Source organism: Homo sapiens, chromosome 22 (genome assembly GCF_000001405.40).
Source record: "Homo sapiens chromosome 22, GRCh38.p14 Primary Assembly".
NCBI classification, from domain to species: domain Eukaryota; kingdom Metazoa; phylum Chordata; class Mammalia; order Primates; family Hominidae; genus Homo; species Homo sapiens.
Genome location: NC_000022.11, coordinates 45866749 through 45894720, shown reverse-complemented (window position 1 = coordinate 45894720; position 27972 = coordinate 45866749). Strand labels below are relative to the sequence as shown.

The window sequence follows — 27972 nt, the reverse complement described above, 5'->3', positions numbered from 1 at the left end:
GGTCATGATCTACCCAGAAGTGTCCATTGATAGCTCACATTCACATTTTAACGGCCCCAGAATGTGAATCTGTGCTGTCCATGGACACTTCTGGGTAGATGATGACATTTGGATCAAGAAAATTGTCTCTCTCTGCAGGGTTGGGGTACCTTGTGAGCACACGGCAGATTCTCAGTTCTGACATTTTGCGTTGAAATGTGTAAATATTTCAGCCTAAAGTTTCCCACAGGTGCTGTCTTTTGGCCTCCGTTCGGAGTACAAATATTTAACAAATATTTGTACAAGACAAATCTCGTCAAATAAATTGTTTCTATGATGATTTTTAATGATTCTTCAAATGTACGTGCTGCAAAACCGTGGGCCTACTTAATTCCATTCCATTTCAATCTAGAATATAAATTTATCCAGTTAATAGGAACTCCATGAGCTGATGCTTCCCAAGGTTCAGGATGTTCCCAAGGACACAGGTACGATTTCCAAATGAAATCTTGTCACTTTCTGAGCCTTCACTAGTGGATGTGATCAATTCCTGTCCGGCTTCTGTAGGGATGACTGAATTTTAATGTCTTTTGCTTTGCGAGCCGTGTTTCCAGTCATTGCAATTCTACATTTCAAAGCTGAAGTGTTTTGGTGCTTCGTTTGTTGAAGTCTTTGATTACACTTCTGATTTTTTTTTTTTTTTTAACAAACCACAAGCAAAATTTAGAGAACCTGTTTCCAAAGACACGCATGAGCATGGCAGGTCTCCTGGGCTTGTCCTTGAAGCAGCGTTCTGGAGGCTTCTGTGCTTGGGAGGCGAGAGGCCGGCAAGGCTGGAGTCTCTGTGCCAGAGCACTTCTGTGAAGGTGACACCGCATGGTCTCAGATGCATTGCCGTGCAGCTCCTGTGACTGGGCACACCGGAAGACAGTGGCAAAGGTGAATAACCACAGCCTCTGCTTTGCCACCTGGTCACAGCCGCAGTTATGAATTCTGTGAGCGTCACCACCAAGCTCGTCTCTACCCCATTTGGTGTCTGACTTTAATGAGAACATTGCTTTTACCACAGAATTTCTGTGTCTATCATCACTGCAAAAACAAACAATTTTGCCTTCGTGCTGAACTTTTAAACTGAATTTGCAAGAGCATTCACGATCATGTCTAATGAGTCACTCTAGACAGAATCAACTTCTAAAAGCTTTACCTTGATTGCATAGATCGGGTGAAAAATCTAGCTGCCATTGGAATTTGCAATTTGCTGGTGGTGTCTCAGGAGTAGGGGTGGTCCCAGCTGTCCCCAGCCAGGGTGGCTGCAAGTTCCATCCCAGGGTTCCCCTCAAGCTGCCCTGCCCAGCTTCTGGAAGCACAGGCCGCGACGGCCAGGGCCGCAGGTACCTGCCAAGGTGCAGCCAGCCCCTAGGAGGCCAGGGTCTGAGAGGTAGGCCCCAGGAGGACATGTGGGCTTTTTCACTGGCTTATAGCCACACACAGTCTGAGGCGGTGGGTGGGTCTTAGTCCCCTGAGACACAAGTGGGGAAACAGGCTCTGGGTCAGCAGGTGCCTCACCCAGGTTGAGCCAGGGTGGAACAGAGACTGAACCCATGTCTAGCCATGCCTGCCTGGTGGGCAAGGCCGGGGGCATAGGGTGTGCGGGTGCTGCATGTGGGGAAGGGGCCACAGGGCCCTGGCCGGAGGTGGCTCCCCAGGATATCTGGTTCCAACGCCACTTCTCTTACCAGCCTGAAATGCCACTGGCTTCATGCCATGGCTTGATGCCTCACGTGGCATCTCCTGTCCTCCCTGGCCCCCGAGCCCTTCTGTGGTCAGGCATGTCCTATCTCATGGGGTTCCGTGGGACACTGTTTGGGAATCACCGAGTGATCCGTGCACTAAAAGCAGTTGCACTGAGAGGGCTTCCAGGGGCTGGCGTAGCCTGGCCCAGCAGAGGGGTCTGGTCTATGGGCAGTTGCCAGGCTTCTCAGCCTCACAGTGCTGCTTCCTTCCTGTTCAGCCTCCAGCAGGTCCCCTCCTCCGCCTCAGTTTCCCCACTTGTAAAATGGGGTGACTGACCTGCAGGATGCCCCTTCTCATGTTGTCAGGAGCTGATTCCCCAGGGCCTTGAGCACATGAGGCAGGAGGGGACCTGCCAGGCCAGAGGCTGCTCACACGTCCCAGCCAGGCCCCAGTGGGGCCCCAGCCTGCTCACCACAGCCCCAGACCACAGCTGCCAAGGCCTCCTGAGGCGGCCCCCGCAGCCCAGGGCCCTGCCCAGACAGGGAAGCCCGGGAGCAGGGGGGAGAATCGGTTCCGCAGGGCTTAGGTGTTCCCAGTAAAGCAGCTCCAGGCAGCCGCTACCAAGACGCCAGAGGGCCACCTGAACAGGGATGCCCCGGGCTGGGCAGGAGCTCTCTCCAGAGGCTGCTGCGTGTGGGCGAGGGTCTGGGGTGTTCAGGTCTTGGGGCTCTGGGCCAGCCCTTCTCCTTCCAGAGAGGGTCCCTGCAAATGGCTGTCTGCATGGCCCGGGGAGCAGCGTGACCACACCGAGGGGTGCAGAGATGGGGGCTTGAGAGTGCCCGGGGCCCGGGTGTGGCCAAGGAGATGGAGGGGTTGTTGCCCACTTCAGTCAAGAGAGTCACGGCAGGCCTGGAGGCACCCCGGTCGGCGCACCCCTCGGGGGGCTGTCCGGGTGAGGTGGGTGGGGCTGGGACTCTGCTGGTTCTGGTTGCTACAGGCACTGATCCCCCAGGGCACGGGCTCAGCCTGCTCCTTTGTTCATTCCACACACACAGACCACATTTGAAGGTGGCCCTTGGGGTGTCTGGCCTGGTGTGGGGGCCACAGGGGCTCATGGCTTGGAGGGGAAGAGAGGCAGAGGGAGACAGATCAGGCAGGGATAGGCTGCTGGGTGGGGAAGGGGCGCTGTGCACACAGGTGTGGCCGATCCCGGGGGTGGGGTACTAGGTGTCCACACTCACTCCCAACAGTACTTAGCTACTTCCCGCGGGGCGCGGGCGCGTGTGGGCACTGGGCCACCGCGGTGAACAAGACAGACCAAAGCCTACCTGCCGGGCCGGCCGCTCCAGTGCAGACACAGAACGCGAAAGAGGAAGGGAAGCGCTGGGCGGTGGTGAACATCCTGCGGGGCCCCTGGGCTGGCGCAGGGCAGGGCCCTGAGGGATGGGGTGGAAGCGGGGCCTCACCGAGAAGTGTCCCCACAGCCAAGACCTGAAGGCGGGGAGGGAGTGGGCCCCAGGGTGGGGGGGCCGTGGGAGGAGCAGCAGAGGATGAGGGGGACTGAGGCCCAGAAAACATCTGTGGCTGGGGTGGATGAAGCCAGGTGTGAGGGCGCGAGGACGCGGGGTGAGGACGCGGGGTGAGGACGCGGGGTGAGGACGCGGGGTGAGGAGGACGCGGGGTGAGGACGCGGGGTGAGGACGCGGGGTGAGGACGCGGGGTGAGCCTCTAGCAGAGGCTGTGGGGGGCCGGGGGACGTGGGGCAGGTGCTGCTGCAGCTACCAGGAGAGGGAGGGCGGTGCTGGGACCCGCGATGGAGACCGCGGAGGTGGGGCCGGCGGGGTTCCTGAAGGACAGACGCTGGGCTGGGAGAACGGTGGGTACGGGAGAGCCCGGGGCTGCGGCCAGAGCTCCTGGGAGGAAGGAGGCGAGGGCCGTGCGGGGAGCTGGGAAGGGGTCGGAGCAGGGAGGAAGGCGGTTTCTCAGACAACATCCTCTGGAGAAATGAGGCTGGTCTTGGGCCGAAAGTTGGTTTTAGGTCTGACAGGACGTGGAGGGCCCTTGCTCGTGGGGTCTAGCGGTGCATCCCTTTCTCAGTGTGGCAGCCTGATTACTGCACACATCCCAACACACCTCCCTGCCCCGCACACACACGCCCCGCACACACTCGCCCCGCACACACTCGCCCCGCACACACTCGCCCCGCACACACTCGCCCCGCACACACACGCCCCTCACACACACGCCCCTCACACACACGCCCCTCACACACACGCCCCTCACACACACGCCCCTCACACACTCGCCCCTCACACACTCGCCCCTCACACACTCGCCCCTCACACACACGCCCCGCACACACACGCCCCTCACACACTCGCCCCGCACACACTCGCCCCTCACACACACGCCCCTCACACAAACGCCCCTCACACACTCGCCCCGCACACACACGCCCCGCACACACACGCCCCGCACACACACGCCCCTCACACACTCGCCCCGCACACACTCGCCCCTCACACACTCGCCCCGCACACACACGCCCCTCACACACTCGCCCCTCACACACACGCCCCTCACACACACGCCCCGCACACACACGCCCCGCACCCTGTGCAGCCTGTGGGGCACAGCGCAGCCCCGTGGGTGTGGGAGGAAGGGCTGACGGCTTTCCAATTCTCACCACGTGCCAAGCTCTGGGACTGGTGGTCCCACCCGGGCCTTGTGACCCCCTGGGACGCAAACATGATTTATCCCCCGTTTTTGCAGCTCTAAGAACTAAGTTGAGGCCGGAGGGAGGGAGTGACTTGCCCAGAGCCTGGCGCTGGTTCCCAGGGGAGAGGGGAAGGGCAGAGCTCCTCAGGGCCCCAGGACCCTGCCTCTGGGGTGGGGGCCTCTCGTCCTGTTTTCCGATGGAGAATCGGTCCCTCGCCCGGGCCGCAGAGCCGGTACCGGGATTTGGGCAGGGGCCGCTGGAGGCCGAAGCCGCTGTCTTTCCAGGGCCCTTGCCTGCCTGTGGGACCTGTGGGAATTTTCCCTCCCGAGAGCCCTGAAAGGCCGTGGGGGCGGGGTGCCGAGTCCCGCCGATGGAGGCGAAAGGGCCACACGCTTTTTGTGGTCGAATTATCCAAACAGTGAATGGGCTGCATCCGCCCGGGCGGCTGTGAAGCGGGCGGCTTTGTCCAGCCCTGAGAACAGCGGCGCGGCGGGGCCAGACAAAGCCGGCGCTGACGCCGCCTTTTCCACGGTCCGGCAGAGAAAGAAAGGCCCGGCGCACAAAGCCAGGCCCAGTGACTGGGGCGGAAGGGGGATCGGGCTTTAGTCACGGCCCCGCCGGGAGGGCGAGGGGCCCCACCGGAGCTTCCCATCAGGATGGGAACAAAATGGGGCGGGACGACTCGCTGACGGTCCTCTCCATCCTTGAAAGGCCCCCCAACCCCCAGAGGAGGCCTGAGAGGGACGGCAAGAGACACTCAGGTCCCTGCTGCCTTCAGCACCCACCCAGCCTGGCCCCGAGGCTGGAGGTCATCTCCCAGATGGCGCCTGGCTACTCGGATGGACCTCAGACCCCTGGCTGGCCTCTCCATGCCTGGGTGGGCAAGACCCCTTTAGCCTGATGGCCAGCGACCCCCAGAGGAGCCCAGCCAGCAACGCTAAAGCCGATGTCTCAGAAAGAGTCCATGTGCTTCAGGGGCAGAGGGGACAGCAGAATGGCGAGGTGGGGTGGCAGGTAGTCTTTGGGGCCGCGGCTGGGAGCCCCTCATCCTCACCGCTCTGTTCAGGGACAGCCTGTCCTGGGGGGCTCAGTGCTGCCCCTGGCATAGGTGGCCAAGGAGTGACCACAGGCCAGAAGCCAAGCCAGGCCCCTGCCAGGCCACCTTCTGCTCCAGATGGCAGTGTGCCCCTCTGCCAGGGGTCACAGTGAGACCTGAGATGCAGGGAAGGGTGGGCGGAGGGGGGCCCAGAAGAGGAGCCCGCAGCGGGCAGCAAGGACCCTGGAGCCCGTCCCGGCTCGGACACCTGGAGCGGGACCATAGCAGGAGGCCTCTGGCTGCCCCAAGCCTCACCTGCCTGAGGGTTTTTTGAGGATCAGAGACTGAGCCCTGGGCTTGTCAATGAGCAGGCGACCCCATACTTGTGCCCAGGGTCCATGGCGGACCCGGGCAAGGAGGGACTGCGGGGAGTCTCGGGCCAACAGCAGGTGTGGGGTTTTGAGGGGCCAGGCAGGGAGAGGGAAGGAGGGAGGTCTTGGAGGGCACATTTGAGTGGGCATTGGGTGGGTGGCGGCCCTGCTGTGAGAGCGCCCAGGGGGCTTGGTGAGAGCCGAGGGCAGGGGGCGTGGGCTCATTTCTGCGTTTAGAAAACTCTTCCCAAGCTGTCCAGGGAGAGCCAGAATGGAAGTGCTTGGTGGGCCTGTGAGGGCCGCTGCAGCCATTCTAAGAGCTGGTGTCTATTCAAGAGGAGAGAGAGTGGGGAGCTGGGGTGCCCGGGTGAGCTGGCACAGGGTGCGGGGCATGTGTGTGAGGGGCAGGGGAGGTGTGTTGGGATGTGTACAGTAATCAGGAAGAAGGCCTCCTCTGGGAACTGGGGTGCCCGGGTAAGCTGGAAGAAGGGTCAGGTCTAGGGCTGAACAAGGGGACTGTGCCTGGAAGGAGCATGTTCTGGAGACCAGAAGAGCAAGCGGGTAGCCCCGCCGTCTGCCAGCCTCTCACGTGCCATGATTACATTGCCAAGTCCGCAAAAGTGCCCCTGTGGGTGCCGTGTCACTTACATCCAGGGAAACTGAGGCACAAAGGGACTCACCAGAGCCAGAGCTAGAAACAAGGTGGGCCCCCCTTCAGCTGGGACTGACACCACAACTCATCCTGAGACCTCGTGCCATCCTGAGGGAAGCTTACCCTGTCCCCACGGGGACTCCTGGCCCTGTCCCACATGGGACCCGGGTGCAGGGCCTGTGAGGAAGTGCCCGGGCCTTGGCCAGGACTGGGTCATCTTCCATCAGCCAAGGTGGGGCGCGCCCAGCCGGAAGGTAGAGCCCCCAGTATCACTGGGCCCTGCCACCCTCCAAAGCCTGCCCCAACTCCCATCTGGGGCCCGTCAGCTCTGCTTATGGCCAGGAGCATGTGGCAGCCGTGGGGGCAGGGAGGACAGCCTTGGCTTCACCCCAGCAGGAAAGGCAGGTTCTGACGAGGAAGCAACTGGGCGGGTCCAGCCCCCATCAGGTGGTGCCCAGGGAGGCAGTCCAGGCACCCGCCTGGCCTGGCTCCAGGCTTCGGCCACAGTCTTCCACCAGGATGTGACTGAAGGCCTGGCCGAGGTCTGCAGGCCACCTGGAGGGCACCTGGAGAGCCAGGAGCGTGTGAGTACATGCGTGAATGTGTGAGTACATGCGTGAATGTGTGAGTGTGCATGTGTATGAGTGTGTATGAGTGCATGTGTGTGAATGTGAGTACATGTGAGTGTGACTGTGTGTGAGAAAGTGTGAACTGGAGTGAGAAAGTGTGAATGTGTGTGTGAATGTGTGACTGTGTGTGAACGTGCATGTGTGAGTGCGTGCATGAGTGAATGTGCATGTGTGATGTGAGTGCGCATGTGTGTGAGTGTATGTGTGTGAATGTGAGTGCATGTGTGTGAATGTGTGTGTGTGTGAATGTGTGTGAGTGCCTGTGAGTGCCTATGTGTGCGTGAGAATGTGAATGTGTGTGTGAATGTGTGTGTATGTGTGTAGCCTGCCTGGGCTCCGGCACCTTGGGGACACTGTGGTCAGGTGTCTCTGCTCCCACAGTCTCTGCTCCTGGCCTCCTCTCTGAGCCTCCATCTCCCTGACTCTCCAGTGGGGGTGAAAATGCTCACAAAACCATTAGGAACAATAGGAAATGAGGTGATTTGTACAAATCAGCACTGCCCTTGGCCCATAGCAGTTGCTCAAAAAATGGTAACTTGCCCTTTGCATGACCCAGAACCTTTGGGGGCCTGGCCGCGGTGTCACAGAGAAGCAGCCGCTGTCTGCACCATTGCAGGCTGCAGATACTCCCGGTTCTCAGCAAACATTTCCCGGGGTCCTACAACAGGCCCTGGGTCTGGCTGGGGCCAAGGATCCCATGGTGATCAAAACATGGTCCCTACACTTAGTGAACTCTGATCAACACAGGAGATGGAAACTTCGCCTCCCACCATATGGTGGCTGTGGGAGGGGAAGTGTGTGTGTGCATGTGTGAGCGTGTGAGTACATGTGTGCATGTGTGAGCATGTGAGTACGTGTGTATGTGATATTTGAAGCATGGCCAGCACCTAGGCTTGCTGGGCTGGGGTGCAGTCAGGGAGGGCTTCCTGGAGGAGGGAGCATCCGAGTGAAATATGTAGAAAGAATATGCGTGGGCCTGGGTGACAGAGAGAGGGAAGAACTGCCGGGAGAGGGGCGGGAAGGAGGGTGCTGGGGTGGGTGGGGCAGGGGTTGTACCTAAGCAAGACACCCTGAATCAGGCAGGCTCTGAGTCCTTCCAGGCCCTCCCTCCCGAGAACCTGACGTGGAGGGCCTGGGAGCACATGGCCCCCTAGGACCCTCCTTAGGTGGCACGGGAAGATGCGTCAGGCCCTAGTGTTGGGGGCAGGCCGGATGCAGGGTGCCCCGGATGAGGAGGCAGCCCAGCCCAGTGCTCATCAGTGCCCTGGGCCCCCTCTGCCCCCTTCCAGATGCAGATGGCAGCACTGGGCTCGCATGGGGCAGAGACTGCTGAGGTCTGGGGCTGGGACCTGCTTCGGCGGGCATTCAAGCAGAGTGCGTCTGGCCCGAAGCCACCTGGGAATGGCATTTGTATCGTGAATGAGGGCGGAGGGGAGCATGCATCTCTGACAAGCCCACTAATGTGTTTGGAGAGAGCCAGCGAGCAGCCCTGGATGCTCGGTCACTGCTGCTCACCGGGTCAGCCGCCTTTGTTCTCCCAGGCCCCGGGCGCTGGACTCGCTGTCACGTGACGTTGTCCCAGTCAGCGGAATCCGATTCTGCTTCCGAGGCAGGTCCTGTTCAGACTGAAGTGGGGGATGCACCACAGGCCCAGGACTCCACGGCCCCTGCTGGTCCCTCCAGGCCTCGCCACCAGGCTCCTCCCTCCACACCTGACACCCCCAGCTCCCCCAGCACAGGAAGAGGGCACACGCTCACCCCTCCACCCACCCCACCACCCCTAGTTCACACCTGGCAGGGAGACCCCCTGGGCGGTGGGAGTGGTGAGCTGAGATGGATGAGACAGGCTGTGGTGGCGAGGGGACAGTCAGGGACAGAGGGGGTCCCCTGAAGATGAACATGAAGAGCAGGGGAGGCATGGGGCTGGGGACCAGTGCAAGCCCGAGAGGGTGTGGTGGGAGGGGCAGTGGCTTCGGCCACTGCCCTGGGCTGTGTCTCCTGGTCCCACAAGTCCCCGTCCCTGGGGAGTGGGGCCCTGCTCAGCCCCCGTGGGAAGGGGGCCATCTTGGCCAACTCTGTGGGCCCCATGGGGTAGTGGGAGGCAGTCACCCCTGGCAGGGCTCCCCACCTCTGCACTGGGGGTGCAGAGGAAGCCCCCCGTCCAGCTCCATTGACGCCCACGAGGCTCCCCGAGCAGGCTCCTGTGAAGGGCTGGGGCCAGGAAGGCTGCGGGGCGGTGCTCGGACCCAGCCTCAAATGAAGCCTGGGAGCAGGTGGATGGGGAAACAGACAAATTCGCTGAGGGGAGGGGCGGCCACATGCAGGCTGGGGGGAGTGAGGCTGAGCAGGCAACCCAGGCTTTGGGAGGGGTGTCCCTGTCACCACAGCTTGGTCCAGGCCGTGTGTCCCAGTTCCCAGGCAAGGTTGTGCGGCACCAACTCACCCTTCCAGAAATTGCTGAAATCTCTACTGTCCAAACCTGTCACCGCCTTAATCAAAGAAAACATATAGCCCATCAACACACGAGGGAAGCCAGCAGGAAGGAGCCTGGCCTTGTCCCAGCACCTCCTGCCCAGCCCCCTTCCCACACTGCCCTGCCCACAGCCTGGGCATCCTCTCCAGCTGTCAGTGACAGGGACAATGACAGCCAGGTCCTGGTGGCCTCTCAGGGACAGTCGTGTGCTGAGGGAGAACATCGTCTCCTGGCTCATCTCGCTGTCACACCCTCACTGACTGGACCGAGGGCTCGGGGCAGGCACCACCGCTACCCAGTTGCACAGCAAACCCAAGCGAGACCACTGCAGTCCCCAGGCTGGGCCAGGCCCTTGCCCTGGTTCCCACGAGGGAAAGCCTGGCTCAGTGCCTTTGGCCACACCATGCAGCCTGCAATGAGATAAGGGTGGGGAACTCCCTGCCAGCTGCCAGGGGGTTCTGGGCTGGTTTATTCCTGAAACACATCTGCATTCCTTGAACACATCCCTTAGCTCCCCACGGCCCACAAAGTGCAGCTGGAGTGAGCGGGGGCCCTTCCCAAGCTGTCCCTGCAGCCGGGGGCCTTGCATCGCTCCCGGTCAGGACCCTGGGCTCCCTCAAAGGCTTTGTTTGCTTGGGGGCCCGAGGCATCCACAGCCTTCCCAGTTACCTGCCCTGACCAGCCCTCAGCTGTGCCTTCAATGGCGTGGGCCGCCAGGCATCTCACCTCTCCATGCTCACTGAGGTCAGAGGCAGCGCTTCTCCGCCACCCAGTCTCGGGTGGAGACCAGGCGCTGCTCTCGACTTGGGCTTCAGGGGTCCTGCTGCACACTGCCAGGCAGAGGTGTGGGCTGGACGGGCGTTGCTGTCAGGAGTTCACCTCCCGGCTGGACACAGACGCTTTTAAACCCAAGGCCGCGGAGGGACCGGGTTAGCGGTCACGATGCCACACTCCCCATCGCCTTGAGGGAGGCCTCCAAGCTTGGAATTATGGTTCTCCAATATGTGCTTACTTGGGTTTGCTTTTGAAAAGGTTAGGATTTAAGTATCACCCAATAACACACACATGCCCAGCTACATCTGAAATTACAGGGCCGCTGGGCTCAGGGTCTGGCCTGTGCCCACGGCTGGGTGAGGAAGTGCCCACCACAGCTGGGCCACTCCACCCAGGGAGGGGTGGGTCCGAGGGGTGCCACATACCTGAGCTGTCACCGTGCGGGCTCTAGTATGTCACTCACCAGGCAAAGGAGGGTCTTCGGGACACTCTGAGGACAGGAGGGAGTTACCTCTCCTCTGCGTGGCTCAATTTATCATCTGTAAAATGGGGACAAGGCTGTTGCAAGGAGTAGAGAAAACAGATGCAAAGAACCTACCCAAATGCCGCTTGCAGCAAACACACACAGGGACCTTGAGGGTACGAACAGCGCGGGAGCAGGGCAGGAGGGGACGAGCCCAGGCTATGTGTGTCTGGGGCTCAGGGCTCAGCATGTGAAATGGGCTCGATAATGGTGGTGGTGATTATCAACCACATCATCACTCTCGGCCGTGTGGAGGCTGGCCCAGCAAGGAAGGTGGGGTGGCACGGGTGATGCCAGGGGTCCCACTCCAGAGGGTAGAGTAAATCCTTGGAGAGTGCAGTGTTGGCCCTGGGAGGAGCCCCTGTGCTGGGCACCCGTGGAGAAGGCCGGGGCATCCTGAGTCAGGACCGCTGAGGCCAAACCTACCCCTGGAGCCCAGAGGCACCGTTGCAGCCAGGTCTCCCAGCTGCCCGGCCTGGCTCTCCACTGGCGATCTGACTGGGCTGGCTCGTCTCCCGGGCCTCGGGGCTTTGGATGGCGCATGCAGTACCCAAACTGGCTGGGCCGCAGCTATCACCGATCACCAGCCTCAACATTCTCCCCCACATCTGCCATCTCCCCAGCCCCACGGCCACTGGGCGTGGCTCAGGCCCAGGAAAGCAGCACCCTTGCCGGGACTTGCCTGCCCACGCTCCTCCTGTGGGGTGGAAGTGGTGGGGTGGAAGTGGGGTGAGGTGGCCTGGAGAGGAAGCCAGCCTGACTGCCCACACCTGGCTTCAGGGAGCAGGTGACCCTCCCCCTCGCTCTCCCTGCAAAGTGAGTCCTGGCTGTGGAGCTGAAACACGAACTCCCCGGTTCCACGCCCAGGGCCTGGCATTGGCCCCACACTCACCTGAGTGCCGGCCGCCTTCCTCCCGGCTCCCAGCCTTAGCTCCTGGTCCTCCCATCCCTGCCCTCCTCCCTAGGTGTCCCCTCATCCTTCATCCATCTACTGCTGGGAGCCTGGGAGGGTGGGGTTGCCTAGGCCCTTTCCTCTACTGCTGTGTGACTGGGAGAAAGTCAGTTAACGTCTCTGTGCCCCTGGTTCCTCTCCATCGGCGCTGTCCTCTGGGGCGGGCGCTGGGGTTCTGTCGATGTCATAGGTGCTCCGCCCAATGCCCACAAATGCCCGTCAGGCTGGCGCTGGAACAATGTGGAACGCTCAGGCAGTGGCCACTTCGCCTGTTTCACGGTCAGTGCTCCCTGAGCCACCTCCATTACCCCACTTTACACACATGGGCGCTTGTCGGCAGGGGGATCACCGGACTGGGAGCTACCTGAAGGCAAGTCCCCTTCTCCTTAGGCCCCCATGGATATGGATAATGGGTCACTGGTCTGGGGGGCTTCCCCATATCTTTGGCGGCTGAGCAGCGTGAGCCCCTCCCAGGACCTGGACTGTGGCCCTTGTCGGGAGGGGGTTTGCCAGCACCTCCCGTGCGATGTTTTCTCACGTTCATTAAACCTCTGGGTGCAGCAGAGCCAAGACGCCTCAGAGACACACGGAGCTTGCCAGCCGCCAGGTTCAGGTCACAGTCAGACCACAGACAACGGCACCTGCAGAATTCTCAGCCTGGCTCGTGCAGCCGTAAGAGCCAGGGTGGAAGTGACTGTCCACTGGGGTTCAACCTCCCATCCTCAACGATGTCGGTCACAGATAAAGTCTTCAATGGGGCCGGGCGCGGTGACTCACGCCTGTAATCCCAGCACTTTGGGAGGCCGAGGTGGGTGGATCACGAGGTCAGGAGTTCAAGACCAGCATGGCCAAGATGGTGAAACCCCATCTCTACTAGAAACTACAAAATTAGCCAGGCGCAGTGGCAGGTGCCTGTAATCCCAGCTACTCAGGAGGCTGAGGCAGGAGACTTGCTTGAGCCCAGGTGGCAGAGGTTGCAGTGAGTTGAGATCATCCCACTGTACTCCAGCCTGGGTGACAGAGTGAGACTCCGTCTCCAAAAAAAAAAAAAGTCTTCAATGGGCATATCCCCCATAAGGCGTGATAGACAGCAGGGAGGTCTGACCCTGAGATGGGAGGTGTCTGCCAGCCACAGGCGGTCCCCAAGGATGGAAAGGCCCTGAGCCCCAGAAGCTGGGTAGCCCCAGCCTCCTCCCCTCAAGGAACACCAGGACAGGGCTGGGCACAGGGACGTCCAAGAGACAGCCTGGGCGGGAAGCACCCACTCCGGACATTGTGGGGCTGTGTGAACATAGATGCAAGCCGCTTAGCCTCCCGGCCTCAGTTTCTTCATCTTTAACATGGAAATGAGAAGACACCCCGTGAGCAGGGAGGGCACTGTCACTGTCACGATCATTCCCATGGTCACCACTGCTCTCCGGGGAACAGCTGCCACGGGGGCGCTGGGGCCGGGTGGCATCCAAGTGGCCCGGACTCACTGACTTACTGCAGCCCTCCTGGGACCGGCTGGCCAGCGGGGTGCTGGGAGCCACCAGGAGGTCAAGTTTAAGCGAAGGCCTCGCTCGCTTCACTGGCTTAGGCACGAAAAACCCAAACCCAAACAAAACGCAGCACCAGCTCCCCACAAGCGCCTTTGTGTCTGCAGAATCGTCCACTCTGCTCTGGGACATCTGCGGCTGCCCAGGCAGCAGACTCGGCGAGAACAAGGGCTCCGCTCTGAATAGGGATTCACGCGGGCGATTCTCAACCGCGGCTGCATTCATCAGGGCCCGGGTGCCCGGGGACTTCCTTCAGGCCCTGCCCCCAGGACCCCGGCTGGCTCCAGCATTCTCTCCCCGGGGTGGTCCCTGGCCCTCCCATCCCCAGTGCCTGCCACTGCCCCTGAAGGCTGCCCGGGGGGCCGGGGGGTATTGTCCCGGGGACACCTGCCCTGTGCCGAGCCGTGGCCGCTCGGGTCACCTCGGCTGGGGCTCGTTCACACGGCCTGAAAGGCGTCCCCTCTATCCGCACTTGCCCTTCTCCTCCTCGCCGCAGGGGGAGGGGCCGGGCGGAGGCAAACAGTATTTTTTCTGTTCTCTCCGGCACAAATGGAATTCAATTAGTGAAGAAGAAACCCAAGCCCAGCCAAACTGCGCTTTAAAAAATCCCGCAGGAGAGAAGCGTCTTCCCACAACCCCGGCAAATCAATGGGATCGATGGTTCCCGTGCGTTCTCCTTCCTTCCCCCCCCGGAACTCATGGGGTGCAGCCGGAACGTCTTCTCCCGCACCAAGGCAGACCGGGCAACAGGGATATCTGAGGAATACGAATACATGCGCCCCAGCCCCGACCCCATTCCTGACAAACCGTGATGGGAAAGCCAGACCATCCTCGGAGGCGGCTGGCCAGCAGACGGACCCTGGGCAGGGTTCAGCCGCCCCACAGTCCTGGGAGCCCTCAGCCCGGCCACCTTTTCTGCTTTTCCTCAAGGACTTGACCACTGCCCAGAGCTGCCAGGAGCAGCCCCTGGGTGGCCTGGGGCCTGGACACTAGGAGGTCACCGCAGGTGGCTGAGTCCAGGCAGGCTGGAGGCCATGGGGCCTGCTTTCCCCAAAGCCTCTGTCACCAGCCCCCTCCCTGCTGTTCCCAGGGCCTGAGGAGCTGTCACTCTTAAGCAGTCACTGCACGGTCAGGAGGTGGTCGCGGTGGAGGCAGCTGACCTTCCCTCCTTATATGGCTGCACATGTCCCCCAAGTCACAGCAGAGGTCCCCCAACAGGGAGACACCAAGAGCCTTCCCAGAGCCTGTCCTGATGTCCGAGCCTCTCCTCTGCCCCGAGCATCCTTCAGAAGAGGATGGAGGATTTGCCAACACGTCCTGTCCTATCTCTGAAGGTTGCATTGTGTACAGGGACCTACTCTGCCTATAGAGCCAATTATTCTCGGATCATCAATTTGAAACCAGAAGAGAAATGTGGCAGGCTTTTTTTTTTTTTTAGAGCACTCTCTGACCCTGGCCGGGGTGGAGGCCACAGCAGCTTTGTGTCATGGGAAGGTCACAGAGCAGGGGTCCAGGGGTCTGGGCCTTGGCCACGGTTCCGTCGGGCGCAGCACGATTCATGCAAATCCCTGTTGCTGAGTTCTTCCATTTGGGAACTGGGCCAGTTGGGCCCAGGACCAGAGCATTTGAGGTCTAAGAGTCTTTGACTCTAAAGTAGAGTCTATTTTTTGCCCACTAGATGATAGCAAGGAGGGAGGGAGGGAGGAAGGGGGGGAAGGGAGGGAAGGGAGGGAGGGAGGGAGGGAGGGAGGGGGGAAGGGAGGGAGGGAGGAAGGGAGGGAGGGAAGGAGGGAGGAAAGAAGGAAGGAAGGAAGGAAGGGCAGAAGTGTGTAGGGAGGAGGGAGGGAAGCAGGGAGGGAAGGGGGAGGGAGGGAAGGAGGGAGGGAAGGGGGAGGGAAGGAGGGAGGGAGTGTGTGGGAAGGAGGGAGGGAAGGCCGGAGGGTGTCAGCTGTGGGGAGGCCACCCTGTCTGACTGGCTAGTGGTCGTCATGGCCCAGATGCCCTCTGCTTTGGGACTTTGCACATGCTCTTCTCTCCCTGTGTGGGGACCACGGGCCATCTCCCCAGCCCCTCTGCTCTCTCTTCTAGAAGTGCTGGGCCCTGGGTCTACCCCACGACCCCTCTGCCTCTCCCCAGGCTGTGAGCTCCCCGAGGACGACGCCCCCTCTGCTTACACCACCTGCAGGCGCTCCAGCCCCGGCACTGGAAGGCCTTGGCCACCGACACAGCAGCCTCATCTTCTGGCTGGATGTGAGTATCCTCCTGCAGGGACCTCGTGGACACACCGTGTTTGCAGAGATGCTTTCTCAGGAAGGGCAGCTGGCTGGGAGGCCAGGACCCAGCCCCATTCAGCTCCCCAGGCCCGCTGCGAGTGCTACCTCAGCCACCCTCCCTGCCCCGGCCCATTCCACAGATGAGAACTTTCTGGGGTGCAAGAGCGGGAAGGGGCAGAAATAAGCACAAAGGGCGCTGCCTGCCTCTCGCTCAGCTCCGCATCCTTTGATGTTTGAAACCCACAGGAATCATTGCAATCGTTCAGAAGGGACTTGGCCACAGGTGACTTGTCTGCAGATTGCTGGAGCGCTAATGAGTGCTAATTACAAGCTGACTGCTTGCCAGGCAATCTGCCCTGCTGGGCAGGCGGGGCCACAGCTGAGAGAGGGGCGGCGTGTGGGGGGCGGGGTGTTGGGCCCCGGTGCTGGCTTTGAGGATGGGCTGTGAGAAGCGACTCTGTTCAAACGTGTTGGACATACTCACAGGGGAGAAGAGACCAATCATGCCTTCAAGGAGGGACAGTGGCGAGGCCGGCCCGAGGTGGAGTCTTTGGCTGCAAAGGGGAGGATGGGGCCCAGCAGGGTTGCCATGGAAACAGCTTCTGATTGGAAGGGGCCCCTTGCAGGGTGTGAAGGACAGAAGGCAGCACCCTGAATCCTCTCTACCCCCGCCTGCCACCTGGGACCCACTCCGGAGCAGGGCGGCTGTGGACCTGCCTGGCGCTCAGAAGGGGGAAGGGGGAACTGCTCTCGGTGGAGGGGTCACCTGGAGCTTGGTCTCTGACAGCTGGCAGGCAGCCCGGTGAGGGCTTTGGCTTAAGAGTTGCTGGCGGATAGCTCCAGCCGCCGTGTTCTGAGCTCACAGCCGGTGCCAGTCACTGCAATGCGCACCACCTCATCCCCGCTTCCCAGTGAGCCCTGGAGGTCAGTGCTGTGATCTCGACTTGACAGATAAGGAAACTGAGGCTCAGAGAGGTCACGAGAATGTGCTTGGGTCACAGGTGGGTGAGGGAGAGGCAGAGCTGGTGGCAAACTAGGGAAAGAGGTTCCCACAAGGGTCCCAGGTGAATATCAAGATGACGAGGATGACCGATGACACCTTCCACCTCAGCCCGCTGCGCGGCGGCCGGATTTCCTCCGCGAGCTGGAGTCCAGCTCCCGCCTTCACTTTATAGTGGGAAATTTGGGTCAACCGGGGGAGGGGACTTGCTGGGGCCGAAACCCAGATCGAGCTCCGCTTTCCCTTCCACTGCCTCTGGGCCGCCCCATTGGGCCCTGGTTCGTGGTCTGATGTTTTTAAAGGAAACGCCCTCCCAAGGGTGTCCCCTGCTCCTCCCTCCTGCGCAGGTGGGTGGGGAGCCCCAGGGTGGCAGGTGCAGTGTGGAGAGGGACCTCACCTTCCATCCTCTTCCTGGACGAGAAATGTCACATCAGGGCCCCCGGGGAAAAGCAGCAGAAGCTCCATGGGCCCTGCTAGGGCCTCAGGTTACACCCTGCAGCCGGGGTGCTCGTGAGGGGAGACTCTGGGATGACAGTGAGGAGCCACACTGTGAATGCGGTCTCCTGCCCACCCTCTGCTGGTCCACGACCCCGGGGACAGCAGGGCGCAAGGTGGGAGGTGGAGAATACAGCTGTGCAGAGTTCTGCTGGCTGGCTCTCCAGACTGTCTCCGTCTCACTCTGCTGTCTGCCTTTTTTCAAAATCCAGTAGACCCAGAATCTTCTGGTCACCCCACTCCTGCGGGGAACAAATAGGAAAAGGACATCAGGGCTCTGAGCGCCCCCTCCACACATGGGAAGATGCTTAGGGGTGCCCATTCTAATCCAGTCCTCCTGACAGGTCTGCAAGGAAGCTGTTAGTATCCCCAATTTTACCATAACTCCCAAGTCTCTTTGCTCCTAAGTCATCAGGACTGGGCCCCGGGCTTTGCATGGGCAAAGTGGGTTCTGTGTGTCCAGGAGATGGGTCCTCTTTTGAAGACCCCCAGAAGCTGCCTCAGGGCACTCAGTCTCTACCCTGAGCCCTGCTCCTAGGGCCTCTGCCGCTGGATGTGTGCCTGGCTCTACCCACAAAACTGCCTCTGTGTCCCAGGTGTTCTGGACGACCCTCTGTGGGTTCTCTGGTCCCATGGGGATGGATGTGGGCTGCAGGCCAGGCGGCTGGGTCTCTTCCAGCCTTGCTTCCCAAATGCGTAGACTGGGGCGGGGCAGGGGTGGGAGTGAGGAGTAAGGGCCTGCCCCTCTTCCCCCAACCCCTTCCCCCGTGCAGCCAGCTAGGAGCGGGTTCCTGAGCCTGTCCCCTCGGGCCACTGGCCTGAGCACGGTGCCTTTCTCTAGGAAGATCCTCGAAGAGCCAGAGCCCATGCCGGACCTGGGGAGACCCTGAGGGGGAGCCCACTTCCTGGAGTCTCTGGCTGGCCCCTGTTTCTGGGATGTGTGCATTGACACGAAAGCTGAACATCAGGTCCCAGAAAGGGGATTTGGGCTTATTTCTCCAACCCACAGACAAGACCTCTTTTCCCATTAGAAACTCACCTCAGAGCCAAGCGGCCCCGGAGAAGCTGCCTCTGTGGCCCGGTCTGCAGGGTGGAGTTACCGTGGGTCCCTCGCATCAGACATCTGCCTGCGGACCAGACACCTGCTCTCCTCCAAGGAGCCTCAATGTCCAGAGAAGGGATCCTGCGGTGACCGAGGGACAGGCCTGTCTTCTGGGTCACCACATCTTGGCATTTATTATTTGCCCCCAGGAAGGTCTGAAGGATTTTACTTTTAAAAACCATAGTCAGCCGGGCGCGGTGGCTAACGCCTGTAATCCCAGCACTTAGGGAGGCCGAGGCGGGTGGATCACCTGAGGTCAGGAGTTCAAGAACAATCTGACCAACATGCAGAAACCCTGTCTCTACTAATACTACAAAATTAGCCAGGTGTGGTGGTGGGCGCCCGTAATCCCAGCTACTTGGGGGGCTGAGGCAGGAGAATTGCTTGAACCTGCGGGGTGGAGGTTGCAGTGAGCTGAGATCACACCATTGCACTCCAGCCTGGGCAACAAGAGCGAAACTCTGTCTCAAAAAAATAAATAAATGAATGAATAAATAAACAAAGTTGTTTTGGTTCTTCCATTTTCCACACATTTCCATATGAATTTTAGAGTCAGTTTGTCAGCTTCTACAACAAAAGCCTGCTGGAATCTTTATTGCAATTACATTGACTCTATAGATCAATTTGAGAGGAAAATGGCATCTTAACAATTTGGAGTCTTCCAGCCTATGAATGTAGTATACCTCTCCATTAATGTAGATCTCATTTATCTCAGCTGTGTATTTTTAATGTACAGGTTTTTCACATTTGCGTCAGATTTATCCTTAAGTATTTCTTAATTTTCAATTGCTGGTTGCTAGTGTATAGAAATACAATTGATTTATGTGTATAGATTTTGTTCCTGCAGCCTTATTAAATTCAGTGATTAGTTCTAGTAGCTTTTTGTAGCTTCACTGGACTTTCTACATAGATGATCATGTCATCTGCAAATAAAGACAGTTTTGTGTCCTCCTTTCCAGTCTGAATTTCCTTTATTTATTTTTCTTGACCCATTTCCCTGGCTAGAACTTCCAGTACAATGTTGAATAGAAGTGGCGAGACTGAACATCGTTCTCTTATTCCTGATCTCAGGGGGAAAACATTCAGTCTTTCACCATTAAGTGTGATTTTATCTGCAGGGTTTTTGTAGATGTCTGTTGTCAGGTTGAGGAAGTTCCCTTCTATTTCTGGTTTGGTGAGAGTTTTTATAAGGAATAGATGTTAGATTTTGTCAGATGCCTTTTCTGCATGTATTGAGATGATTATATGAGTGTTGTTTTTTTTTTGAGACGAAGTCTCGCTCTATTGCCCAGGTTGGAGTGCAGTGGCGTGAACTTTGCTCACTGAAACCTCCGCCTCCTGGGTTCAAGTGACTGCTTGCCTCAGTTTCCCAAGTAGCTGGGACTACAGGTATGCACCACCATGCCCAGCTCATTTTGTATTTCTAGTAGAGACGAGGGTTCACCATGTTGGCCAGGCTGGTCTTGAACTCCTGACCTCAGGTGGTCCACCCACCTCGACCTCCCAAAGTGCCGGGAGTCCTTTCTTTCGCTTACTTTAATTTGCTCTATTTCTAGTTTCTTAAGGTGGAGCTGAGGTCACTGATTTGAGCTCTTTCATCTTTTCTAATTAGGCATTTGGCAGCATCTGAAGCTAAGCTCAGCTCTGCCTTAGGACTTTCTCACAAATTCTGTGCTATATTTCCATTTTCATTCAGGTTATACTACTTTCTAATTTTACCTTTGGTATCTTCTTTGACTAGTGGAGTATAAGTTATTTGGTTTCCAAATATTTGGGGATTGTCAAGTTATCGTTAATCATTATGTTTTTGATTTCCATTACGGCCAGAGAACATATTTTGTATAATTTTGTATAAGTTGAATCCTTTTACATTTTATGGACCAGAATATGGTCTATCTTGGTAAATGTTCTATGTACACTTAAAAAGAAGGTTTATTTTGCTATGATTGAGTACAGCATTCCATAAATTATAATTCGGTCAAGCTGGCAGATAATGTTGCTCAGATCTTCTATTATATCCTTACCGATTGTCTACTTGTTCTATCAATGTCTGAGAGAGGGATATTGGAATCTCTGGCCATGATTGTGATTTCTTTCTTCCTTCAGTTCCATCAGTTTGTGCATGCATTTTGAAATGCTGTTATTAAGTAGATAGCTATTTAAGATTGTTCTGTCTTCTTGATTAATTGACACCTTTATAATTATTAGGTGGCCTTCTTTATGCCTGGTAATATTCTTTCCTCTGAAATTTACTTCAATGCTGTAGCTATTCCAGCTTTCTTTTGACAACTGTTATTATGGTGTGTCTTTTTCTATCCTTTTACTTTTAACCTCATGGTGTTTGTCCCTTCCACCATGTGAGAACACGGCTAGAAGGTGCCATCTTTGAAACAGAGAGCAGCCCTCACCAGACACCCAATCTGCTAGCATCTCGATCTTGGACTTCCCAGCCTCCAGAACAGTGAGCAATACATTCTGTTGGTTATAAATTACTCAGTCTAACATATTTTGTTATAGCATCCTGAAGGTTCTAAGACAGGGGTGTTTGGACTATTTGCATTTAATGTGATTATTAATATAGTTAGGTTTAAGTCTATCATCTTGTAGTTAGTTATAAAATCAGGAAGTATGACCTCCAACTTTGTTCTTTTTCAAGATTTCTTGGCTATTTGGGACCCCTTACCATTCCATATGAATTTGAGGATTGGCTTTTTCTATTTCTGCAAAAAGGCCCTTGAAATTTTGATAGCTACTGCATTGAATCTATGATTACTTTATGCGGTATTGCCATGTTAACAATATTAAGTCTTCCAACCCATGAATATGGGATATCTGTTCATTTATTTAAGCATTCTTTTCAATTATCTTCTAAGGAGAATTAAACAATTTTGAAAATCTTGCATACGTACCCATGGAGGTGCCATTTTCAGTGTTCTTCATTCGTTTGTGTAGATCTACATTCCCATCTGTTATTTTTCCTCTGCAAGGAGGACTTTCTTTAACATTTTTTTTACAGAGCAAATGTGTTGCCAATATGTTTTTTCCCCTACTTTTGTGTTTTAAAATGTCATTATTTAACCTTTGGTTTTGAAAGATATTTCACTGAGTATATTTTTGTTGAAAATATCTTTTGAAATATATTTTTGCTTTACATACGGGTATTGGTTGACAGTTTTTGATCCCAGTACTTTAAAGATGTTGCTTCACTGTCTTCCCACTTGCATTGTTTCTGATAAGAAGTCTGTTGCCATTCTTATTTTCTTCCTTTCTATGTAATACGTCTTTCCCCCCTCTGGCTGCTTTTAAGATGTTGTCTTTATTACTGTTTTTGAGCGATTCTAGTATGATGTACCTTGGTGTTTTCTTCATGGTTCTTGTGTTTGGAGTTTGTAGACTCCTTAGATCTGTGGGTTTATAGCTTTCATTGTTTTGGAAAAATTTTGATCATTATTTTTTCGAAATTTTTTTCCATTTCCTACCTCCTCTCCTTCAGAGGTTCCAATTATTAAGCTGCTTGAAGTTGACCTACAGCTCATTGATGTCCTCTATTTTGTGGAATTCTTTTCCCTCTGTATGTTTCTTTGTGGATAGTTTCTATTGCTATGTCTTCAAGTTCACTAATCTTTTCTTCTGCAATGTCTAATTTTCTATTGATTACATCTAATGCATTTTTCATATCATGCATTACAGTTTTCAATGAAGCTTGATTGGGCTATTTTATTTTATTTATTTTTGAGACAGGGTCTTGCTCTGTTGCCCAGGCTTGAGAGTAGCATGACCTCTGCTCACTGCAACCTCCACCTCCTGGGTTCAAGAGGTTCTCATGCCTCAGCCTCCCAAGTAGTTGAGATTGCAGCCCCAGGCCACCATGCCCAGCTAATTTTTGTATTTTTAGTGGAGACGGGGTTTTACCATGTTACCCAGGCTTGTCTTGAACTTCTGACCTCAGGTGATCCTCATGCGTCAGCCTCCCAAATGTGGAATTCTTTTTCCCTCTGTGTGTTTCTTTGTCGATAGTCCCTACTGCTATGTCTTCAAGCATGCTGGGATTACAAGCATGAGTCACTGTGCCTGGCCTGAATGGGGTACACATATATTTTTAAATTCTACATGTTTCTATTGTGCGATCTTGTGGAATACAATTATGATAATTATATATATATATATATATATATATTTTTTTTTTTTTGAGACAGAGTCTTGCTGTGTCACCCAGGCGGGAGTACAGTGGCATGATCTCCGCTCACTGCAACCTCCACCTCCAGGGCTCAAGCAATTATCCTGCCTCAGCCTCCAGAGTAGCTGGGATTACAGGTGCACACCACCACGCCTGGTTTATTTTTGTATTTTTTTAGTAGAGACAGGGTTTCACCATGTTGGCCAGGCCGGTCTCAAACTCCTGACCTCAAGTGATCTGCCTGCCTCGGTCTCCCAAAGTGCTGGGATTACAGGCGTGAACCACCACGCCCAGCGATAACTATTTTAATGTACTTCTTTGCTAATTGTAACATCTGTGTTAATCATGGGTCACTTTTGATTGCTTAATCATTTCCTCATTATGTCAGTATTAATAATATTTCCTGCTTCTTTGTATGTCTCATAATCTCTGATTGGATATTTGACATTTGGTAAAACAGTAGATATCTTTGCATTCCAGTAAATATGCTTTGTTCTGGGATGCGGTTAAGTTACTTGGAATTAGTTTAATTCTTCATAATATATTTATTAGAAAGGTCTGGATAAGTAGTCAGTCTAGGATTTTTTTCTCCACTACTGAGGCAAGATCTTTCTTACTCAACCTTCCCCTCCCCAACCCCAGACACAAATATGCCAAATGCCCCACCAGAATTATGGATTATTCCAGTCTGGCTGGTGGAAATAAACATTATTCCTGGGCCCGTGTGAGCACCAGGTACTTTTTTTTTTTTTTTTTTTTTTTTTTTTGAGATGGAGTTTCGCTCTGTCGCCAGACTGGAGTGCAGTGGCACAATCTCAGCTCACTGCAACCTCCACCTCCTGGGTTCAAGTGATTCTCCTGCCTCAGCCTCCCGAGTAGCTGGGACTATAGGCGCCTGCCACCATGCCCGGCTAATTTTTTATACCTTTTTTTTTTTTTTTGAGACAGAGTCTTGCTCTGTCGCCCAGGCTGGAGTGCGGTGGTGTGATCTCGGCTCACTGCAAGCTCTGTCTCCCAGGTTCACGCCATCCTTCTGCCTCAGCCTCTCGAGTAGCTGGAACTACAGGTGCCCACCACCATGCCCAGCTAATTTTTTGTATTTTTAGTAGAGACGGGGTTTCACCATGTTAGCCAGGATGGCCTTGATCTCCTGACCTCGTGATCCTCCCGCCTCGGCCTCCCAAAGTGCTGGGATTACAGGCATGAGCCACCACGCCCGGCCTGTACTTTTAGTAGAGATGGGGTTTCACCATGTTGGCCAGGATGGTCTCAATCTCCTGACCTCGTGATCTGCCTGCCTCAGCCTCCCAAAATGTTGGGATAACTGGCGTGAGCCACTGTGCCCGGCCTGTTCTTTTTAATCCTTTAGGATGATTCTCTCCACAAGCCTCAATTATTTTCCTCCCATATTTGCAGTGATCTGTATTCTGGGGGACACTGGAAAGGCACCCCTGCACGTCTCTCACTTCCCTCCCTGCATAACTCTCTTTTCTCTGAAACTCTGTCCAGTGAACTCCAGCTGCCTTGATCTTCCTGGACTCCCAGCCCCACCTCTGGAACTTGGGAGTCTTCTGGGATCTGTCTGGCTTCCCCCTGCCTGCACCATGGCCGGGGGAGAAATCTCCCTCTCTCAAGGCAGAAATGTGGGGCAATTAGAGGGGCTCACCTTGCTTGTTTCCTTTCTCTCTGGGATCACTGCATTTAATTTTGCCTGATGTCGGGGTCTTGGAAGCCACTGTCTCATGTATTCTGTCTGATTATTTCAGTTGCTGCAGGTGTGGTAAAGAAGCCTGTTACTCCATTTTGGCCAGAAGCAGAAGTGCTCTCTCGTTTTAAATCAAGGATTGGCCACCTCCTACTTGCAAGGCGCGTGACCGCCACACAAAGCCAGACAAATGTCAGCCCTCTCCTGACTACAACTCCACCGAAGGGATAATGGATTGGTGGTGGTAGTGATGGGGAAAACTGCAGACAATAATTCTTACAGAAAGAGAATAAAATGTGATTTGACACAGGTTACTAGGTACCAGGGCTGGCCAGGTTCCCTGGACAGAGGCAAGCAAGCCAGACGCAACCTCCTGGTGGGATGCCCACGGCTTTGTTCATGCAGACGAAAAGCCTGGTGTTCCCCATCTCTGCGATGCCAAGGCTGAGAGAGCCTGGAACCCCTGGCTTGTGGTTCTGATTGCTGTTCAGAGAGCAGTTTCCCTTTGAACTGGAGAAAGAGACTGACAAAGGTGCCACGCGCCAGGAAGAAGGGGGAGAACAAATTTCCCCAGGTGAGGGCAAAACAAAATAAGAGCCAGTTGAGGGGTTGATTGTGATTCAAGCTGCATCAAGCCAAGCTTGGAATTATGCTAACTACAGCCATGGTCATTACCACCCTGGTCCCTGAGAGCCACTATGCTCTGAGCATTCCCAGGGTTACCTTGTTTGGTCTACATGGTGACCAGTAGGGTCGCTTGTAGCCTTTCTATTTGGGAGAGGCTGGTGCTTGTCTGGGAGGAGGAACTCTCCCTCACCATGGCTGAGCAGGCACAGTGGAGCCAGCCCTGCCCTTGGGGTGGGCAGCAGCAGGGGCTGCAAGCCGTGTTGCCCTCTGGGCAGGCAAGGTCCTCCTTCCTGCAAATGAGATGCTACACAAGAGGGTCTTGACAGGAAGGGTCCGCCCAGGGTTCAGTCTCCTGTTGGGCTGCAAGGAGTTGTTAGCAAAGTTGAGGACCCCGGCTCCATAACCGGTGGCAGCACTAGCAAGTGTGTGTGTGTGTGTGTGTGCGCGCGCAAGTGTGCACGTGTGAGTGTGAGCATGTGTGGTAGCAGGGACTCCCAGAGCTCCGAGTCCAAGGCTGAGACTGGGCCCGCCGATGCTCTCCAGTTCTACAACTGTCACAAGAATGTGGCAGCCAGGGCTAAGCTGGGGAGCTAATCCGGCTTTGATGCTGACCCTCTGGCCATCCAGGGCGCTGAGGTCAGGACCACCCGCTCCGGCCCTGGATGAAATGCAGTGGGAGTGGAAGGCTGGAGTGCCCTGGGACTGACGAAGACTCGCCCCTGGGACCACCTTGTTGCAACTCCTGCTTCTGAGAACGGAGCACGGGGCCGTCCATGTGCTATTCACTCAGCAGCTGCTTGCCAGGCACCTGGCATGTGCCAGGGCTGCCCAAGGCACAGGGATGCAGTGGTGAGCAAAGGGACCCACATACTACCCTTGTGAGCCAGATAGTGCATTTAATAGACCCTGGGCCAGCCAGATGGCTGCAAGTCCAAGACAACCGGGAGGCAGGGCAGGGGAGACAGGCCACTGCAGGAAGGAGGCTGCAGGTGCAATTTCATGGAGAAGGTGACATTTTAGCAGACTGGGAGGAGGTGTGGGAATGAGGTGGCAGATGTCTGAGGGAGGAGCGTCCGGGTGAAGGAAGCTTCTGGTGCCTTGGGCCTGAAGCAGGAGGAAGCTTTGTCTGAGTGAGGAGCACCTCAGCGGCCGCGGCGGCAGAAGGGGAAGCCAGGGCAGTGCCCCTTCTGTGGGCTCCAGGAGCACCGGGCTGTGCGCTGAGCAAGCTGAGAGTCTTTGGAGGGTTTTGGCAGAAGAATGATGTGATTTGACTTAGGTTCAGAAAGGATGATGGGTGGGGACTTATGGTGGCCACACCAGGGGCAGGGAGCCCAGGGAAGGTGCAGCCGTGACCATCAGGAAGAGCAAAGGCAGCTTGCCTTGGCTTAGCCCGGGAGGCCGGGTTCTGGCCATGTCTGGAAGGGAGAGCCATGGGATTTTCTGACGGAATAAACGTGAGACTGGAGAGAAAGAGGGGAGTCAGGGACAAGTGTAAAGTTTGCGTGGGGAGAAAAGGGAGGAAAGGAGTTGTCATTTTCTGAGTTTGGGAAGTTGCGGGCGGGGACAGGTCTGGGCTGGGGCGGGTGCCAGGCGAGGCATCCGGCTTGGCCTGGAGTTGGATGTAGGAGTCTGGAGCTCAGGGCACCGTCCAGGCTGCACATATTTGGGGGTCATAGGAGAATTATTGTGTCTGAAGAACTGGATGGGTTTCCAGGGAATGTAGAAGAGAGAAACCCGGTGGAGAGCACAGGGGAGAAGCCGCCAGTGGGGAAGGCAGGGAACCCAGCAGGAGGGCAGGAGAAGGAGGAGTCGCAGCCAGACTGAGGGACATGAAAGGCTTCAGAGGAGGGGCTGTGGGGTGGGAGAAGGGGGATCCCAATGGGAGACGCAAGTGGATGGCACTTGAAGGGCTTTACTTTGAGAAAGAGCAGAGACACGCAGGGCTGTGGAGTGGTGGGGGGCCCGGGGGGGCGCAGAGATCCAAGGGGCTCGGCTGGCAGCCAGCTCGGCCGGGGGTGGGCAGTGAGTCTGGGGCAGGGGGCTTCCGGTGCTGCTGTTTCCAGAGCTGGAAGGAGGGGACAGGGAGGGGACAGGCGCGCAGGGGCGGCCGCAATAGCGTGGACGGAGGCGCGAGGGCTTGGGGACCGTGGTCACGCCTGTGATCACGGCTGCCAAGGAACGCGCGAGTGGATAGATTTAACCCGGGAGGAGACCGCGTGGGGCTGCGGAAAGGGCCCGGGGCCGCGGATGCGTGCAGGATAGGGGCGCGCTGGGGAGGAGGGCGCGCCGGGCCGCGGGCAGAGGCCGGAGGCGGCGCTTGGCCGGACGCGTTCAGGCCGTTCCCTGCTCAGCAGAGGCCGAGCGAGGGTCGGGGAGCCGCTGTCTGTGCCTAAGCTTCCTGCTCTGTGAAATGCAAACAACACTCGCCCTGACCTCCCGGGATGCGACAGCTCTGGAGGGCGCTGGGGAGGGTCCGCCTCATTGTCGTCGTGGAGAAGGGAGCGCTGGGTGCTGAGGCCCGGGGCTGCGGGACACCCCTGGGCGCGGGAGAATCTCCGAGACCCGCGACGGGAGCGGCCTGGGCGCGTGGAGCGGAGGTGGTGGCCAGGCCGGGCGGCGGAGGTGCTGGGGGTCGAGGACTGGGCCGGGCCATCCCGCAGAGGGCAGTGCAGGATCGGCCCTGGCCACACGCGCCCTCCGGCTGCCAGGGCCGCTCCGCCGCGCCGCGCCCTCTCCCGAGGCCCCAGCGGTTCTCCAGCACCAGGGGCGGCGCGGAGCTGCTGTTCTCGCCTTGGACTGTCACAGCAGCCCCGGGACGCGGCCGATCAGCTCCGCTTCATAGAGAAGGAAACTGAGGCCCCGAGAGGTCAAGCACCTCGCCCCAGGCCGCACAGCTAGAAACGGGGAGGCCTGGCTGCGACCCCGCCCTCCGCAGTGGGGACGCGTGGGCTCCTGACCCTACGAATAGCAGGTTGCTCCTGACCCCGCGCCGCCGGCTTCCTCAGGGCCCTCGCAGTCCGCCGCTTTGTCGCCCGTCTGGCCCCGCGCCTGCAGGGGTCCCTCCCGCGCTGCAGGACTTGATCGGGGCTTGGGGTGGGCCGCGGCGGGTCTGGGGTCCTCTGGCTCCCGCGCTTACGGGAGCGGCGGGGAAGGGAGCCCGCCTCGGAAGGGCCCCCTTTGCCGGGCACAGGCAGGCCGGTCCTCCCGCGCTCC

At 57.0% G+C, this 27972-nt stretch overlaps 1 protein-coding gene and 1 long non-coding RNA gene across 8 annotated transcripts, besides 3 other annotated features; one reads left to right on the top strand and one right to left on the bottom strand.

Annotated features, from left to right (window-relative positions):
• Positions 1-304: 304 nt before the first annotated feature.
• LOC105373071 (uncharacterized) lies at positions 305-27972 on the bottom strand. 7 transcript variants are annotated; one of them, XR_007068131.1, is made up of 9 exons: positions 18188-18276; positions 17051-17390; positions 16138-16207; positions 10831-10906; positions 10320-10614; positions 9564-9609; positions 8912-8967; positions 8636-8745; positions 305-890 (listed from the first exon to the last, which is right to left on the bottom strand). XR_007068131.1 is itself a non-coding variant. In XM_047441693.1 (4 exons), exons 1-4 carry the CDS (start codon positions 9829-9831, stop codon positions 8377-8379), a joined length of 573 nt encoding a protein of 190 aa, XP_047297649.1. In that variant the 5' UTR covers positions 9832-10066; the 3' UTR covers positions 7377-8376. The 7 variants fall into 7 exon arrangements, 1 of the variants encoding a protein (XP_047297649.1); XR_007068133.1 differs by adding an exon at positions 24094-27972 and having other exon boundaries at positions 8912-9609; positions 10320-17390; positions 18188-18331; XR_007068134.1 differs by lacking the exon at positions 16138-16207 and having other exon boundaries at positions 8636-9609; positions 10320-10906.
• Positions 6995-18641, top strand: LOC107985535 (uncharacterized). Its single transcript, NR_171771.1, has 3 exons — positions 6995-7075; positions 15472-15630; positions 18180-18641. It is a non-coding gene; the product is annotated as an uncharacterized LOC107985535 (long non-coding RNA).
• Positions 12979-13893: an enhancer, noted in NCBI's record as "H3K27ac-H3K4me1 hESC enhancer chr22:46276708-46277622 (GRCh37/hg19 assembly coordinates)". NCBI's record gives its function as "activates a minimal SCP1, AML or CMV promoter by ChIP-STARR-seq in naive H9 embryonic stem cells {active_cell/tissue: H9 hESC(naive)}" and the evidence as "EXISTENCE:reporter gene assay evidence [ECO:0000049][PMID:30033119]".
• Positions 13894-14809: an enhancer, noted in NCBI's record as "H3K27ac-H3K4me1 hESC enhancer chr22:46275792-46276707 (GRCh37/hg19 assembly coordinates)". NCBI's record gives its function as "activates a minimal SCP1, AML or CMV promoter by ChIP-STARR-seq in naive H9 embryonic stem cells {active_cell/tissue: H9 hESC(naive)}" and the evidence as "EXISTENCE:reporter gene assay evidence [ECO:0000049][PMID:30033119]".
• Positions 26804-27378: an enhancer, noted in NCBI's record as "H3K27ac-H3K4me1 hESC enhancer chr22:46263223-46263797 (GRCh37/hg19 assembly coordinates)". NCBI's record gives its function as "activates a minimal SCP1, AML or CMV promoter by ChIP-STARR-seq in naive H9 embryonic stem cells {active_cell/tissue: H9 hESC(naive)}" and the evidence as "EXISTENCE:reporter gene assay evidence [ECO:0000049][PMID:30033119]".